The sequence below is a fragment of the Homo sapiens genome, chromosome 21 (genome assembly GCF_000001405.40).
Source record: "Homo sapiens chromosome 21, GRCh38.p14 Primary Assembly".
Classification (NCBI taxonomy): Eukaryota; Metazoa; Chordata; class Mammalia; order Primates; family Hominidae; genus Homo; species Homo sapiens.
This window is the reverse complement of record NC_000021.9, coordinates 10,521,275-10,539,263: the sequence shown is the minus strand read 5'-3', so window position 1 is coordinate 10,539,263 and position 17,989 is coordinate 10,521,275. Positions and strand designations below refer to the sequence as shown.

The following is a 17,989-nucleotide window of genomic DNA, read 5'->3' as shown; positions in this document are numbered from 1 at the left end:
TAGCTCTGTTCTTTTCTGCCCAGGGCTTCACTGCTCCTTGTCAGCTGCTATCTCCTCCATGTTGCAAATAGGATTTTCTCCTCCTTTCTGTCAATCTGGTAGGCTCTCAAACTCAGGAAATCTGAGTCCTTTAAGCTGCTGCTTACTAGGAACTAACAGTGACAAATACACTAACATAGGAAGCAGCAGCTCTCTTATGACCTGCTCCTTTTTATATCACTCCGTTAGAAAAGGAAGCAATGTTACCTACAAAGGCTACTAGGAGAAGAATTGGAAATCCTGTTAAAAACCACTCTCTATGGCCACGCAGGCTTCCCAGAATAAACTCCACAAATGTCCGGCCGTCTGTCTCCTTGTTGTATGTTTCCACTGTATGCATGGATTTGTTAGTGGATGTGTTTGAGAGAAGTGTGTACGGATGGATGCATGGATGGATGGATGGATATATTTGTTTATGTGCCTGTGTCTGTGAATACTTCTATGCTCAGTTATAATTCGATAAATAAAGACACACGTACGCATAACTCACCTTTCATTCATACGTGCCTCTGGGTTCACTCCTGATAATTCATTTGTGGGTGGACTAGAGGATGTCAAAAGAATATAGTCAGACAGGAGACACAATTCAAAATTTACTTTTCTGGTAAAACTAGCTTTCATTAATCTGCACATAAACCAGTTAAGTTCTGACTATTCATGTGTATAGCACTATTTGGTTCTGAAATGTCATTTTTTAATTAAAAAGGAGGATTTATATGATGGCAACCAACATCTTAGGCTGGGGAAAATAGTAATGCTTTCAGATTTAAATAAACCTCTTTATTATGACCTCAGTCCCAATGCGTGACAGCCTTTGTGGTGGCAGTTATTTCAAACTAAACTTTTGTGTGGAGGTAGTCAGCCCTCTTATTCCACTAAATGTGCTGCCTCGAAAGCCCTCCATTACTTCTTCACTTGATTGTCTCTGTTGGTCCACAAGTACGGTAAAGTAACTGCAGGTCTGAGTCAAGCACACAATCCAATATGATGGTATTTGGGGTTTTGAGTACCACCCTGTATTGTGGCAGAGTTCTGCAGGGTCAAAAACATTTCTAGGGTTGTTAGCTTTTTTCTCTTCTCCTGAGGTCTTCACTACTCTCCGTCCCTGCTGTCCTTTCCTGTTTCCAAAGAGGATTCTCTGCTGTCCTCAGCCATTATAGTAAGGTCTCACATATAGGCAGTCTGAAAATTAGTTTTTATTTTTACTCAAGAGTATCAAACAGACTAGTAAGAAAAATCATTCTTCTTTTTATGTGGTCATCTTTTATCTAAATTCATTCAAGACATAAAGTCACCTTCATATCCTATAGTGAGATCATGCAGACACATGTGTCAAAGTTTTTTGTTTTTCCATTAATGCCCTTGAATGGGAACTTCCCTAATCTCAACCTTTATATTTCTCTGCTGTACCTGTGGGTGCATGCCTTGATTTAATATGAATGCATATAGGTATATATAAATGGTATATAATCGTTTCCTCCCTTGTTCATATATCCTTATATCTATATTGATTTATTTCTTTTTCTTTTTTCTTTTTTTTTTTTTTTGAGGGGGAGTCTCGCTCTGTTGCCCAGGCTGGAGTGCAGTGGCAGGATCTCGGTTCACTGCAAGCTCCACCTCCCGGGTTCACGCCATTCTCCTGCCTCAGCCTCCTGAGTAGCTGGGACTACAGGCACCCGCCACCACACCCGGCTAATTTTTTGTATTTTTAGTAGAGACGGGGTTTCACCGTGTTAGCCAGGATGGTGTCGATCTCCTGACCTCGTGATCCACCCACCTCGGCCTCCCAAAGTGCTGGGATTACAGGCGTGAGCCACCACGGCCAGCCTCTATATTATTTCTGTCTCACAGTTCACTGACAGCTCCATTCCAGGGTACTGATTTGAATTTAGACTTGGCAGTGCTACAGAATTTAAATATATATATGTATCGTCCAACACCAATATGACATTCTGGACTTCACTTTCTGGTTTGAATTACTCACAAGCGATGTTTAGTTCTTTACAATTGAATACAGCACAAACTAAGCATTTGATGGTTTACTTTATTTCAAATTCAGCTGCAGTTTCTATATACAAATCCCCTTGACCCCATCTCATTTCCTGACACTAAAATCCCTTCATGAGTGCCTTGTTTTTGCCATTATAGGTGTCTTCTCTGCTCTCACACAGGGTCAAGAAACTGCCCCATACAATGTGATGATGGGTGTGGGCTTGTAGTGTTAGCCTCACATGGTGGTAGAGCTCTGGGTGTGAGGAACCCTGCCAGGGCCATTAGCTCTGTTTGTTTTCCCTAAGGGCCCCGCTGCTCCCTGTCCACTGCTACTCGCTTGTTGCTCTGCATAGGGTTTTCTTCCCTTGGTCCACTCTAGTATGTCTCATACACAGGAAATCTGACTTTCCTAAGTATGTGCCTGCTACTAAGGGTGACAAGACAATAACAAGAAGTTTCCCTTTTTTGCCCTGTTCCTTTTTTATCCAATTTAATCAAAAAGTTGGATAAGGGGCCTGCAGGGCCTATAGTTAGGAGGTTTATAAACAGTGTAAAAGACATTCTGTATGGCCATAGATGATCCTGAGCGCAAGCACATAATCTTCATCTTTCTCTCTGTCGATTCTCTCTCTCTTTTCTCTTTCTCTCCCTTTCTCTCTCTCCCTGTGTTTGTGTGTCTAGATAGACAGAAGTATGTATATCTGCATATATATTTCTTTAAATATTTGTGTATATATATTTTATAATTCACATTTCATTGGTGGTTCTATCATAGGTCATTGATGTCAATTCTGTATGCAGGCTAAAGGAATATAAAAGTAGATAGTTGGACACACATGTAATTCTAAACTTACTTTTTGAATCAAACAGCTACAGTTACTCTACAATGTACTATCTGGTTGACATTTAAATATTCATGTGTATATCACTAATTTGAACTAGGTGTATCCTTTTTTTTAGGCGGAGTCTCACTCTCACCGAGGCTGGAGTGCAGTGGAGCCATCTTGGCTCACTGCAACCTCCACCTCCCAGGTTCAAGCAATTCTCCTTCCTCAGCCTCCTGAGTAGATGGGATTACAGGCATGCACCACCACACCTGGCTAATTTTTGTATTTTTAGTAGAGACAGGGTTTTGCCATGTTGGTCAGGCTGGTCTCAAATTCCTGGCCTCAAGTGATCTAGCTGTCTTGGCCTCCCAAAGTGCTGGGATTACAGATATGAGCCACCATGCCTGGCCAGTGGCATTTATTTCTAATGTAACTGCAGTCTGTAAGGAAACATGCCTCTTACCCCATCTAAATTCTTGATTCCTAAGTCCTTCTGTCACTTCTTTACTTTCACCCATCATGGCTGTCTTTCTTGCCCAGAAGATATGACCATGTAGCTGTAGGCCTGAGTCAGGAACTCCCTACAAAATGATTGTGGGTTTGGGTTTGGGGCACCAGCCTCACATGGTGGTAGAACGCTAGAAGGTGAGGAACCCATTACGGTTTCATGAACTCTGTTCTTTTTGCTGAGTGCTTCACTCCTCCGTCACCTGTTACCTCCCCATTGCTCCAAATAGGATTCTCTCTCCCTTTGGCCCACTCTAGTAGTAGGAGAGTCTCATAAATGGAAAACCTCAGAGGTTCCTAAGGGATTGGATACTACTAACTTAGAGTGACAAATATACTAAGAGGAAGAAGCATCCCTTTCATGACTTCATCCTCTTTTATCCAATTTGGTCTGAAAAAAAAAATAGAAGGTTATCTATAGATCCTACAGTGAGAAGATTTAGACATAGTGTCAAAGATATTCTGTATTTCCAAGGATATGCCTGACAGTGAATTTTACAAATATCAACTTCTCTTTCTCTTTCATTGTTTTATGTTTCTGTGTGTGTATGTGTATGCATGCGTGTATGTTATGTGTATATATGTATATATACACTTACTTGTATATAAATCCTTGTTTCTAATTCACATTTCATGGGTGGCTCTATCATAGGTTACTACCATCAACTCAATTGGCTGTGGGCTGGGGAATTATAAAAGCATATTACTCAGATACAAACACAATTTGGACTTACACTTTTGGTCAAATAGCTGCAGTTACTCTAGACAAGAGTCTACCTGCCAAGGAATGCCAAAGATTGCCAGCAACCAGAAAAAGCTAGCAAAGAGGTATCAAACAGATTCTTCCTTATAGCCTTCATAAAAAGCCAACCCTACTGACAACCTCAATTTCAGATTTCTAGTCCCTAGGACTATGAGATCATTAATTTTTGTTTAAGCCACTTGGTTTGTGATACTTTTTTAAAGCAGCCCTAGAAACTAATATAGCCTAACCTGGTAGAATCTCATACACAGGCAATCCAACAGTTTTCTGAAAGTTTTAGCTACTAGTCAACTCAGCTAGGAAGAAGTAGACTTCTTGTGATCTACTTATCTTGTATCCAACTAGACCCAAAAAGAAAAGGATGTTACATACAGAAGCTGAAACTACCAGTACTTCAGAAACAGTGTCCAAGAAACTCTATAGTTAACATTTGTGTGTATCTTTATGAACATACACACACATAACACCTTTCACTGATGGCTCCATTATAGGCTAGTGATATCATTTCACTTTCACTGAGGACTCCATCATGGTTTAGTGATATCACTTCATTTGGGTCAGAGCTAAAGAATTAAACTAAATTGTACATAATCAAATACCATGTGAATTTGTAGGCTTAATTTTTATTCAAATTAGCTACAATAACCCTACAACTAATAAACTAGCTGTTCTAAAAAAAACAAAACAAACAAAACACATGCAATTTAGCCATTTGGAAACAACAGTGACCATCCCTGCCTGTCTCCATAGACAATAACAGCAACTACCCAGGAGTAGTTACAGTAAAATTAGGAGAGCATTAGGCTGGCTGATGAAAACAGGGAAGGGCTGAAGAGCCATCCTTGGGCCTTCACTCCTCCACCTGCCTACATCTCCAAAGCCCAGGTTACAAACCAGAGAGACTGTCTCCTCCAATGCTGCTTTGTTCAGGAGCTTCAAGGTGATATAGTTGTTTAATTAAATGAAATTTTCCCTGAGGTTGCCTCTGTACTTGAGTCCTTATGCAACAAACTGCAAGCTAACCTAGTGTGTAAACTAACAGCACAATTATGAATAGAATATACACTTGTAACAGATAGCTGTGTCTCAGTCAATTACAGCAGCTGAGCTTCAGTCAATTGCGGGTGGCTGACTGATTCAAATAAGACAAAACATCCAGCTGTAACCAGTTGTAAACAACAAAGCTGTTTCTGGACCTCACTTCCATTTTCTGTCCATAATGCTGTCTGGCCACATTGCCAGCTTGCAGTTCTCAGAACTTGTTCTCGTTCTAAAAGCTTCCCAACTCACGAATCATTCTTGCACTATTAAACTCTTAAATTTACCTTGTCTAAAGCTTTTCCTTTTCACAACCCAGAGGAGTTGCCTGGTCAGTGTTTCATGGTTCCTGAGACTCTCTACCCTGGGGCACATCACTTCTCTTCATTTTAAACTTACTGACAATGACACAGCTTACGTCCTAGATTTCAGTGAGACTGACTATATAATTCCTGCCCAAACCAGGACACTTTTGAAAGGAAAAAGTGGGTGCTATTAATAATTATGTTGCAAGAACAGCAGCAGACTGAGATTGTCCTTCAGTCCTTCCCCAATACAAATGACCAGAGTAGCCAATAGCCACAAAAAATCTGAGTTCACAAACCAACATGATTAGATATCTGAGGAATACAACTACTGAAAAAGAAATACAACAAGCTGAACAACAACATACCGACTGTAGCAAAACTACTGGAACACACTGACCAAGATTTTAAAGTAAGCATGACAAATATTCTTAAGGATAAGAGGACACAAAGGAAGATGTTGAAACATGAAATGAGAATGGGAGTCGTAAGAAAAAATAAAAGAGAAAGCCTTAACTGTAAAAGTATGACTGTCAAAAAATATAAATTGTTGAGGGATAAATAGTAGTTTGGATACATGTGAAAAGCTAATTAATTTAGAGTTAGAAGATTAGATTGAGAAACTTACCCAGAAAATAGTAGAAAAGAATAAAGAGAACATACTAAAGAAGAATGTTATGGAGGATAAAAACAGCTATCTAACATCTAGAATATGGAAATCTAAGAAGAAATGAAAACTAAAAATGCAAAATAAAATGTGAAAATTTATGATGATAAATTTCCCAAAATTCAAGAAAGAAGAAATATATCAGCTTTAAGTATCTAATGGAGACAAAGAGAAAATTCTAACACCTTCTAGAAACAGCAAAAGACCTATGAGGGCACAAGGACAGACCAACATCATAGCTCTCTGTACCATAAAGAAAGCTTCCACAGGATAAAGTCCACAGGATCAATATCATATTGCTATTCTCTGAATATATTGTAATATGATTAGCTTTTTTTAAAAAACCCACATTTGAAACTAAATTACACATTACTGAATGCCTCTTATGTTAAAAGGGAAATCACGAAATATTTTAAATACTAAGAACTGATTGATAATAACATGACAAAGTTTGTAGGATACAATGAAGCAATATTTAGAAGAAAATTTACCAATATATAAGCATTAATAAGAAGTCAAGATGGTTAAAAGCAAAGAGTACACATTTAAGTAGAGAGGTTGGAAAAGGAACACATGGCAAAGTCTATGGAGTAATAAGGAAGCAAAACATAAGGAGGTAAGCATAAGTCACTGAACTGGAGAAGAAAAAACCGTGGAGAAGATTAACAAAACAAAAGTGTGTATCTTTGCAAAGATTACTACAATAGACCTGTGGCAATAATAATCAAGAACAAACAGAGTGAATATCCAAATAAAATGTACAAGAAGGGAGCATAACTAGAACACAACTAAATTTTTTTAAAATAAGATTATTCAATTATATGCTAATAAATGTGAAAACTTAGATGGAATGGAAAAATTCCTAGACGGATATAAAACACTAACATTAGTGCAAGAAAATATATTTATATAGAAATAGAATACTCAAGTAACAAAGAAATCAACCTAGTATTTAAAGCCCTTCCCTCTCCCAAACACCACAGGGCCCACATAGGTATTTTTCAAAATTTTTTAGAATATTGACATACTTACTACAAAATCTATGTCAACATATAAAGGCTCCATTAATAACTTAACTAATCATGCTAATAAAAAAAGGTGTAGGGATGCCATAAGTATCAATGGACCAAAATATTGAGCTCAGAGATAAACCTATGTGGATATATGTCATTGACAATGATTACATAAACAAGGAAAAAGGATGAACTGTTTCATAGATGGTATTTGGAAAATCAGCCTACCACTGGGAGACAAATGAAACCAAATCCCCACCTAACACCATATTGAAGGGTAGACTCTAAGTAGATTAAAGCATTAAATGTGTAAATTAAAACTATGAGGATTAGAAATTACCTTTGTAGACTGAAAGTGGGAAAATTTCAAACTTCAAAAGTAAAATAATAAGGCAAAAAGTTATTTCATGAAGAGAATGAAGAACAACAATGCCAAAGCTAACAGGCAGATGACGGATTAGAGCACATAACTTCAATGTCTCAAACTGATATGAAGGATGATTTGAATACATAAAGCGATAGTCCAAACTTTTGAATGGGATTCCATGCATCTGAGTCTGTTTAGTGTTGCCATAAGGGATACCTGAGGCTGGGTAATTTATAAAGAAAAGAGGTTTATTTGGCTCACAGTTGTGTGCTGCACAAGAAGCCTGATGCCAACATCTGCTTCTGAGGCTGCTCCCATTTATGGTGGAAGATGAAGGGGAACTGACACGTGCAGAGATCAAATGGCAAGAGGGGAATCAAGGTGCGGGAAGCCGCTTGTCTCTTTTTAAACCACCAGCTCTTGCAAGAACTAATAGAGTGAGTACTCACTCACCCTCACTCCAAGGGAGGGAATTAATCTATTCATCTTCCAAACACCTTCCATTAGGCCCCACCTCCGACATTGGGGATCAAATTTCAACATACGGTTTGGGGGTACAAATCTCCAAACAATAACACCATGTTTTTAATGTTACTAAAAAGAGTGAATTCTTGCTATATTGTTTACAGATGTAACATAATCACTTTGAAAATTAAACATAATTTTAAAAGAAATTTGATTAACTTATTCTAAAATATAAAATATTCAAAAACAGCACACGTAAATTAACAAGACAAAGATAGGAACACTAGTGGAAAAACGGGCTAAGTTCATGAATGGACCATTACAGAAGAAATCCCAAATGCTATAAGAACATAAAATGATGCTCAAATTCATAAGTTATCACATAAATTCAAAGTAAAACATAATGCAATATGTTACCATCTATTAGACTGATTATATAAATTGGAAAGTTTGATAATGTCAAGTGTTGTTGTGAATGTGTATGTGTAGGAACCATCATGCATTATTCAGGAGATGCAGACTGGTATAACCATTGTGAGAGCAATAGGCAGTATTCAGTCAAATTCAAAATATGCAATCCCATGGCCCATCAAGTCCTGTTTCATATTCCTACAGAAATACTCAAACAGGTCTATAGGGGTCTGGCATAAGGATAATTATTTAGCGGCACTCTTTGTGAAGGCAAATGGTAGGAAGCAATATATGTGTTCCTCACTAGGGGATGCATGCTGTGCAATTTTTCATACCAGTTAAAAGCAACAACGAAAGGTATGCACAAGAAGAATAATCTTATGTTACTATGCAAAAAACTAACAAAATGAGATACAACTTAATACCATTTAAGTAAATTTAAAAACATATAGGCAAAACAATAATACATAGTTTACAGAACACATATAAATGTATATACTGTGTATTAAACATATTAAAATTGTTGCATATGTGCATATATCTGTATATGTCAATATGTATATCTGTACTCTCATCTAGATATTAAAAAGGCCTACAAGTAGCAATGAGCCAATGGCAATCAGCATACCAAATGCAAAATATTGATTGGTTTCTAAAGGGCATGAGGTTCTTTGGGTAAATGGCTGATTCCAGGGCTGGGGAAATGCTCAAAAAGTGATGGGAACATGTCAAGTCAAAAGGACACAGGGGCTAGCTTTTAGGGAGTCCCACTGGCCAAATATGAGACCATTTAAAGATCAAAATAAATAATGACAGAAAGGATTGTAATTCATTGAAATAATGTAAGAATTTATAAGTTCATAGTAATAGTGAACAAATAGGGGTAGGAATAGCTCTCCTTATAATAGAATGATACTTATTAAACACAGAAAAACTACTTTTTTTAAAAAAAAAATCACCATTTTGTAATGATCACAGTTACAACTGATTCACATAAAAATCAATGAATGCTAAAACTAGGGCATGAAAGTTTTATGTGGAACAGGATACTGAACATTGAAAATAGTTTTAACATAGACTGAAAGTATCTCCCCCCAACATGGATATTAATTATAAACTGAATAATATTTACTTGTCAGCGAATAAATCTGGCAATACCTCTCAACCACAATAGAGATATGAACCATAAAACAGTGTAATATTCAATAGAGGAGTTACTTAATCTGAAAGTGGTATTCAATTCCCTCATCTATCCTTTAAAAGGCCATGAAATTATTTCCTGTCATCTCATATAAAAGATGTTGTAATATTCTAAGAGCTTGCATTTAGGTTGTCTCTGAAAAGAGTCTGATGAATAACTTAACAATAAGAAAGTGAATGCTGAGATTTTAGAGTGAACAGACATTTTAATCTCACAGTCTACTTTTGTGTTAACTCACCCCTCTCACATTTCAAAAATATCTAAAAGTAGCTGTTAGACATTCTATTAAGTCCTCCTGGTGAAAATGGAAATGTTTGGATATTCCATCTTTGCATCATCTTCCTATATCCCACTTTTAAACATTTTTGGCATTGAAACTTATCCTTCAAATGAACTTTTAGATATCACACATGCTTAGTAAACTTCAAATCTGCAAGTGGTGAACAGATAATCTGCACAGGAAACACTTTTTTTTTTTTTTTTTTGAGACAGAGTTTTGCTCTGTCATCGAGGCTGCAGTGCAGCAGTGCTGTCTCAGCTCACTGCAACTTCTGCTTCCCGGATTCAAGTGATCCTTCTGCCTCAGCCTCCCGAGTAGCTGGGACTGCAGGCATGCACCACCATGCCCAGCTAATTTTTGTATTTTTAGTAGAGACGCGGTTTTACCATATGGCCAGGCTGGTCTTGAACTCCTGACCTCGTGGTCCACCTGCCTCAGCCTCCCAAAGTGCTGGGATTACAGGCTTGAGCCACCATGCCCAGCCAGAAAACACTTTTGACAAACACACCAGCATTTCCTTTTGTAGAATCCTTGGGCCATATTAAGGGTATTGTTAAGCTGCCATCTCATAAAGTATACAGAATAAAACACTAATTTGGGGAGACGTTAAAAGGGAATAGTAACAACAGCAGCAGCACTTGTTTTATTTAAATGTGGAAAATTAATTCAAAATATAAAAAAATATTTTGGTGACTATATTGGTAATCTTACGATAAGAAGTAACTTTCTGAGTATAACACAAACAGCATCAGTTATAAAAGTACCAATTATATTTGAACACATGAAGCTTATTATAAAGCTCTATGTAAGGTTGCTGCATTTTACTTCAAACATCAAATGCAAAAATATATTAGAGATTTGCCACATGGAGCGGTGATATGACCAACTTATTTGAACAACAAAATTCCTTGAATCTAAAAGATATGGTAAATATGACTTAGCTTACTTAAAACCCAACTTTTTAGAAAGAATTTTAGAATCAGTGTCCAGAAAACTATTTTCCCATGAATAATTCTGAGACTGAATTTCACAAACCTGAATTCCTCCCATCTCCAATATATATTATGACATCCCCTTTCATTGTTGACTCCAGCACAGATTTCTGATGTCAATTCATTGGAGTCAGTGCAAAGGATTGAAAGGTAAATAGTAAGAAACAACATAAATGTATACACGATTTTTTTTTTTGGTTCAAATTGGCTATGATTGCGCTACAAATTACAATGTGTTGTCCCTAAAAATTCTCATGTAAATCTGTTATTTGGCACCTGGTACTTGATTTTTCTCTAGAAAGAAGTCTCTATGTGTTGGTAATAAAAATTGTTTAGGACTCTCAAAAAAGTTTAATGAATCAAGATTTAAATACAATTATTACTGAACCTGATCATCATGTGTGGCAGCAAATTTAACTTAAATTTCCTTCAAATTCATGTCCCATTTGTAGGCACACATTATTCTTGCCCATTTTGATTTCCTAATTATCAAGTCCCTCCACCACCTTCATGCTCTTCATGAGTCACAGATATCTTTGCTTCTCCTCAAATAGGATCAAGTGACTAAACCTGAGGCAGGGGCTCCATCCAATGTGATGATGGCTTTGAGTTTGGGGCACCAGCTCTGAAGGGTGAGGGACAGATACAGGGTCTCTTAGCTCCTTTCTTGCTGCTGAGGGCTCCTCTGCTGCCTGTCCAATGCTACCACCTTCTTTCTCCAAGTAGGATTCTCTCCTCTCTTGGACCACTCTTGAAGAGAGTCTCATACACAGGCATTCTGATAGTTTCCTAAGGTTTTGGCTGCTAATTACTTAGAGTCACAAACAATCTTTGAGTACCAAGCATCCTTCTTCTGACCTGATCTTATTTTTTCCACTCTGGTTCAAAAACAATGTTACCAAAGATGCTTAAAGTCTCTGATAGAAAGCTGTTATTGCCATTGATGCTCCCAGTATTTTTCACCACTTAGATCAGTCAACTCACCCATTGTGGTCATAGTTGTCAAGAGCATACAGTAGAATCTGGTAGTGAATCCATAACTCTACCAAAGAGTAAAAAGCACATACAAAAAATAAAGTCAGATATTTTGGAAGGCAATGAGGATGTTAATCTCAACAGTATTTCAGGACACAAAAAATAAAATCGGAGGAATTTTGACAAGAACTAAAGAAACAATTTCAGGATACAGCACTAGTACTTCTGAGACTGTGTGTGTGTGTGTGTCTGTGTGTGTGTGTGAGAGAGAGAGAGAGAGAGAGAGAGGGGACACAGAAAAAAGAAAGAAAATGTAAGAATAATGAATGTTTCTATATCAATGGCTAGTTCCCGGTCATCCTTGGTAGGAAATAAACAAGTAGATAAGTCAAGCCTTAATTATGTTTAAAACATTTTGTGAACTTAAAGTGGATTATGTGTTTACAATGATTTTGTTTTCTCTTTGTCTGGATTCATTTTTTTAAAGTTATATGGCTATGTTTTACAATATCAAGACTTCCTAGCACCGAAACCCCTGGCTTGGCTAATTTAATCTCTCTGCTACTTCATTTCCTCATCTGTAAGTTAAGACACATGCAAAATACACTCCACATCTGTCAACTTCATAAAACCATGCTGAATATTCAGCATTTTGCCAATATTGGTTTTTAGACAACCTGCTCTCTACACCATATATTATGCCATAAAAATCAGTATGTGGCAATATAAACGGATACACATTTTTAGTTTCAAATACACAAACATTCTCATCAAGGTAATACACTCCCAAGACTCAAGAATTAATGCTCTTCACCACAATTTTCTAACTTTTCAAACGTTTAAATAAGTTTAAGAAACTGATCACATACATTTTTTTGCTGCTGATAACAACTGGGATTCTCTAAGAGTGTGCTGAGGTTTCTTAACCTATTTGACCACAGAACCTCTTTCTCACAGTGGAAATGTGTGAGAAACACATTTTGGAAACAATATATTAAATGGTATCTTTTTATGTCTTTAAGAAAAGTTCCCCTACACAAACTAATTTTGGACTCTGATCAATAGCTCCAACCTTTAAGCACAGATAGACATTAATATTGTGCTAGTCTTTCAGCCTGTGAGGAAAGGAGTGCCAGAGTTCAAATTATCGCATCTCGTTAGCCTGGTCTGAGGGCCATGAGGGGAACCTTTCAAGTTCTAAGTGGGTGTTCTCATGTCCTTGAATGGCTCCTGGAAATTCATCCAGGTCTCAGGAAAAACAATAACCTTTTACAAAAAGAAAGGCATCTATAGGCATCCGCTACTTTTCAGCAGGATGAATAATTGGATTGTCTATGCAGAATACACTAATAAATCATAACAGGGGAAAATGTTCAAAACACCAAAAAGGTAAGAATTTGAGTTTCTGACATAAGCAGCCTTATTAAATGATTACTAGATTTTTCAGACATCCTCTACTGAGGAAGAGAACTGGAAGACACTCAAATTACTCCAGATTCAGGTGACAAGCCAGGATTGCTAAGCAAGTTCCTTGGGAAACTAATCTCCAAAAAGGGCACGAGACATCCATAGATGTTACCTGAACTCCAGGGAGAGTACTGCATGAAGTCTGAAATAATACTTTGATAAGCTGCTTTGGGGCACAGAATGACTTCCCTCATGGGACATGAATAAGTAACTAGCTAAATTGCCCCCTAAGGAAGGTGAGAATTGCAAACCGTCCTAAACTGAAGTGGTCATGCAGAATTCTTAAATGCTTTTTGGTAGATAGGAGCAACCACAGAAGTTTGAGTTAGCTGAAGGTTAGCTACACCTTTATAATCATGCTACCAGGTTATAATGAAAAGTAGGTCTCCGACCAAATCTGCCACACATACAGATATTCATTTAACAAAACATTCAGTAGCAAGCAGACACAGTATATAAGCTTCTGTAAGCTTTCCGCACTTTAGGTACTCCAAGCATGAAAGCTTCATTCTCAACAGATTCCTAATGTTTCAGAGGCCAAAATCTTCCTAAACGTTCCTGGAGATAGGACCATATGAGGATCAAGCCTTGGGTGTCGTCTCTAAATATACACTACAGGCCACCCTCATACACCTTTATCCTGTTTATGCAAGGGTGGGCTGTCTCCAAAACACGTTAGTTGATTCACAGATCTTAAAATGTCATATAATTGTAACATCCATCATGCTGCTTTGTAAGCCGCCAATTTCACTAATAAAAACCCATTTGTGACCTTCACTGTAATAATTAACAATGTTTCAGGTGTTAATTGAGATGGGACCACTGAAGCCCTTTTGGTGGCCATCTCTGTGGAGTGGCTTCCTGAGCTGAACACTAGCTTACCATCCTTGAACAGAGCATCCAACATTAGGGCAACCAGCTGCCCCTGTAGGAAAGATTAAAGTGACCAGTATATGCATATTATCACACTGCCTAAAATGTCATAGAATGAGGCTTGGTTTGTTTTTTAAATTTTTTCTATTTCTATTATTTTTCTATCGAATTATTTTTCTATTTTTATTTGCTGGGTCACAGACAACAGCAAATTCCATACCTTCAGAGTTATACCAGCTCATCTGCAGTAGGAGTAGAAATATCAAAGCTCTCAGTCTACCACCTTGTGCTCCAGAGATGTGGCCCAAGCACATCTTTGGACGTGAACCAGGGCAACCCAAGGCAGAGCTGGATTTCTGGGAGTTTCTCCCTATAAGCCCTGGACATGCTTACCTATACACCAGACTGCTTCCAGAGCCACTGCCGGGCAGAAGAGCCTGGGGTGTGTTCAGCTGCTAGAATAACACAAGTCTGAGGTCTTGTGTCGTCGGTCCAACATTCTCTAAGAGGGAGAAATTTAATCAAGATCCTGTTAGCAGTTTTCTCTCTTGTTGCCTTTCAAGATTATGGCTTTTCCTTTTTTCATTTTTTTAGTTCCCAAAACCAAGCTTGTTAAATCAAATCTTGACCCAATTCCTGGCAAGTAACAAGGTTATTGCTATTTGGCCTTACACCCACGGGTTGTCCCCCAGTACCGTGAGGGTAAGGGGACTCTGTAAGGTCCCTGGGAGGGGAAAGGAATGTCAATTAGTGGTCCCCCCAGCTGGGTATAAGCAAACTTTCCTGTCTATGGGCCGCAGAGACCACCATCTAGTTCCCCCGCCAAAACTTTACATGATTTTAATTCTCCTGATGAAGATGAGAGGATAACAGCCAACAGAGAGGGCAGAGGATGGGATGGGACTCCCTTGCTCAGAGACCTCACCTCTAGGTCTTTACCTCCTATTGAGAATAAGTCAGTTCTGTAGTAAGAACTCTGTGTCCACGGCAACCCCAAACAGAATCCTAGCGCTCTTGTGATTCTTGTAGAATGGGGAATAGAACGAGCTTGGCCCAAGACTGCACAGACTTAAAAACATACTATTCTTTGAAAATGGCAATCATTAAAAAGTCAGGAAACAACAGGTGCTGGAGAGGATGTGGAGAAATAGGAACACTTTTACACTGTTGGTGGGACTGTAAACTAGTTCAACCATGGTGGAAGTCAGTGTGGCGATTCCTCAGGGATCTAGAACTAGAAATACCATTTGACCCAGCCATCCCATTACTGGGTATATACCCAAAGGACTATAAATCATGCTGCTATACAGACACATGCACACGTATGTTTACTGCAGCACTATTCACAATAGCAAAGACTTGGAACCAACCCAAATGTCCAACAATGATAGACTGGATTAAGAAAATGTGGCACATATACACCATGGAATACTATGCAGCCATAAAAAATGATGAGTTCATGTCCTTTGTAGGGACATGGATGAAATTGGAAATCATTCTCAGTAAACTATCGCAAGAACAAAAAACCAAACACTGCATATTCTCACTCATAGGTGGGAACTGAACAATGAGAACACGTGGACCCAGGAAGGGGAACATCACACTCTGGGGACTGTTGTGGGGTGGGGGGAGGGGGGAGGGATAGCATTGGGAGATATACCAAATGCTAGATGAGGAGTTTGTGGGTGCAGCGCACCAGCATGTCACACGTTTACATATGTAACTAACCTGCACATTGTGCACATGTACCCTAAAACTTAAAGTATAATAAAAAAAATACTGTTCTGCCATACATACAGATACTCATTAAAGATGAGGGAGAAGGGCATGGGGTGGGGGAGAATGTACCAAAACCAAAGACCACAGGATAATAACCTCAGAGCAGAGACTATCTCTCTAGTTATTTTTTCTTTTGTATGTAATGGAGAGGATTATTATTTACTCTGATGAAGAAGTTTACATCAAGTGTTCAGCTTCCTTTGTGGGTTACAGAGAATAACCAGAGGGCTCAGTTATGCTCTCTGAATAACTATGTTTGCTTAGTGTTTTCTAAACAATATTAAATTTCACTAAAATAGACAAGGTTGATAGGACTTGGGGGCATAACTCATTGACTCAAGCTATCATTTTATAGGATTGTGAGAAAACAAATAGATGAACATTTAAAATACACTCATATTCTCGCTAGAAAAGAGGATTTTGAATATTCTTACATCAAAGACATGGTAAATGTTTAAGGCAATGAATATGCTAATTACCATGATTTGATCATTATGCAATGTAAAATGTACTGAAACATCACATTGTACCTCATAAATATGTACAATTTATTATGTGCGAATTAAAATTTTGAGTATAAGAAAAAATAAACTTCAATTGTAAGAAAACAACCCAACTTTTAAAAAACGGGCAAAATACGTGAACAGATACTTCACTAATAGAGATTTGCAACTGGCAAATAAGCAAATGAAAAACTGGTCATCATCACTATCTATTAGAGAAATGCAGATTAAAACTACAATAAGAAACAATGCTGCCCGTCCAGACGCATTGTTTTGACCGTTTCCAACTTGTCCCAGCCCTTCCCGGGGCATCGCTGGGGACCCTACGCCGACGTCCCCCCTCCGCCCGCGCCCCAAGGGCCGACTGGGCAAATTGGGAGACCCGCCCCGCGGGGCGACCCAACTTTTCGGAACAGCACCCCACCGCCCACCCCCGCAGACCCCCGGACCCCCGCTCCCGGCGGAGACTCAGGGAACCCCGCACCCCAAGCCCTTCTAAATCGTGCAGCGTGAGTGTGACGGCCAAGAGCGGATGCAGCCCGGGATCGCCCGCACCTTCCCGTGGGCGGAAGCGCAGGAGCCAGCTGGGGAGGGGGCGCCCTAGAGGAGCGGCTAGAAAGCAGACACGGGGAACTCAGGTCATCCTGGGGGGGGACAAGACAACGAGAGCCGGGCGCCTCGGGGGCGGCGCGGGAGCCTCCGCAGGACCGGGCGGGCGCCCCGGCTGGCGCGGGCGGGGGGCGCGCCCCCTTTACCTGCGGCTCCGGCTCCTAGGCCATTTCCTCACGCGGCGGCGGCCGGGACTGAGCTAACACCACTCAGGCCGGCCGGGTTTGAATGAGGAGGAGCGGGCGCGGAGAGGAGGGGACGGGGAGGGCGGAGGGAGGGAGGGAGGCGTCGCGGAGTTTTTCTCGGCCTTTTGTGCGGACACCTCCCGGATTCCGCGCCCGCACCCGGCCCCCCAAAAGACACGGGGAGCCGCGGGCGAGGGGTTCAGCCATCCGCCGAGGCGCCTAGTGCCTTCGCGCCTCCAAGACCCCCCCCCAACAAAAAGGAGCGTCCCCCACCCCTACCCCCGCCCGGAGGACTTAGGGCCTGGGCTCACCTCGGGCGCGGAGCTAAGTGTAGGCGCCGGGGGTCCCTAGAGCCGCCGGGGCGCAGCGAGTCCGGCGCTGGGTAACTGTTGGGTCAGAAACTGTTCAGGTAGCAGCTGTTGTGCCCTCCCTTGGCCCCGCCGCTCGGAGACGCCCCGCCCCCTGCCTTGAACGGCCGCCCGGCCCCGCCCCAGCGCCCACGTGACTAGCATAGGCGCGCCCCCGTTCCGCCCGCCGCCGCAGACTCCGCCTCCGGGACGCGAGCGAGCGGCGAGCGCGCGCACTACCAGTTCTTGCTCGGCGACTCCCGCGCACGCGCGCGCCGTGCCACCCTCCCCGCACCCCTCCTCCCGCCATCCGGCTTAACGTGGCGGGCGCGCGCCGCGGCAGTAGCCGTGACAGGTACCCGGCGGGGCGGGGGGGGAGGGGGT

General features: G+C 40.3%; 1 protein-coding gene across 4 annotated transcripts in view; it reads right to left on the bottom strand.

Annotated features, from left to right (window-relative positions):
* The window catches only part of TPTE (transmembrane phosphatase with tensin homology), an 84,134-nt gene extending 66,453 nt beyond the window's left edge, over positions 1 to 17,681 (bottom strand). For 3 of the 4 annotated variants that reach the window (NM_199261.4, NM_199259.4, NM_199260.4), the window contains exons 1-4: positions 17,570 to 17,681; positions 14,576 to 14,684; positions 11,852 to 11,909; positions 530 to 583 (exon numbers count right to left, since the gene is read on the bottom strand). In NM_199261.4, the coding sequence (NP_954870.3) occupies positions 530 to 540 (11 nt within the window). In that variant the 5' untranslated portion in view covers positions 541 to 583; positions 11,852 to 11,909; positions 14,576 to 14,684; positions 17,570 to 17,681. The remainder of the gene's footprint in view (positions 1 to 529; positions 584 to 11,851; positions 11,910 to 14,575; positions 14,685 to 17,569) is intronic. The other variant, NM_001290224.2, reaches the window with a different exon arrangement.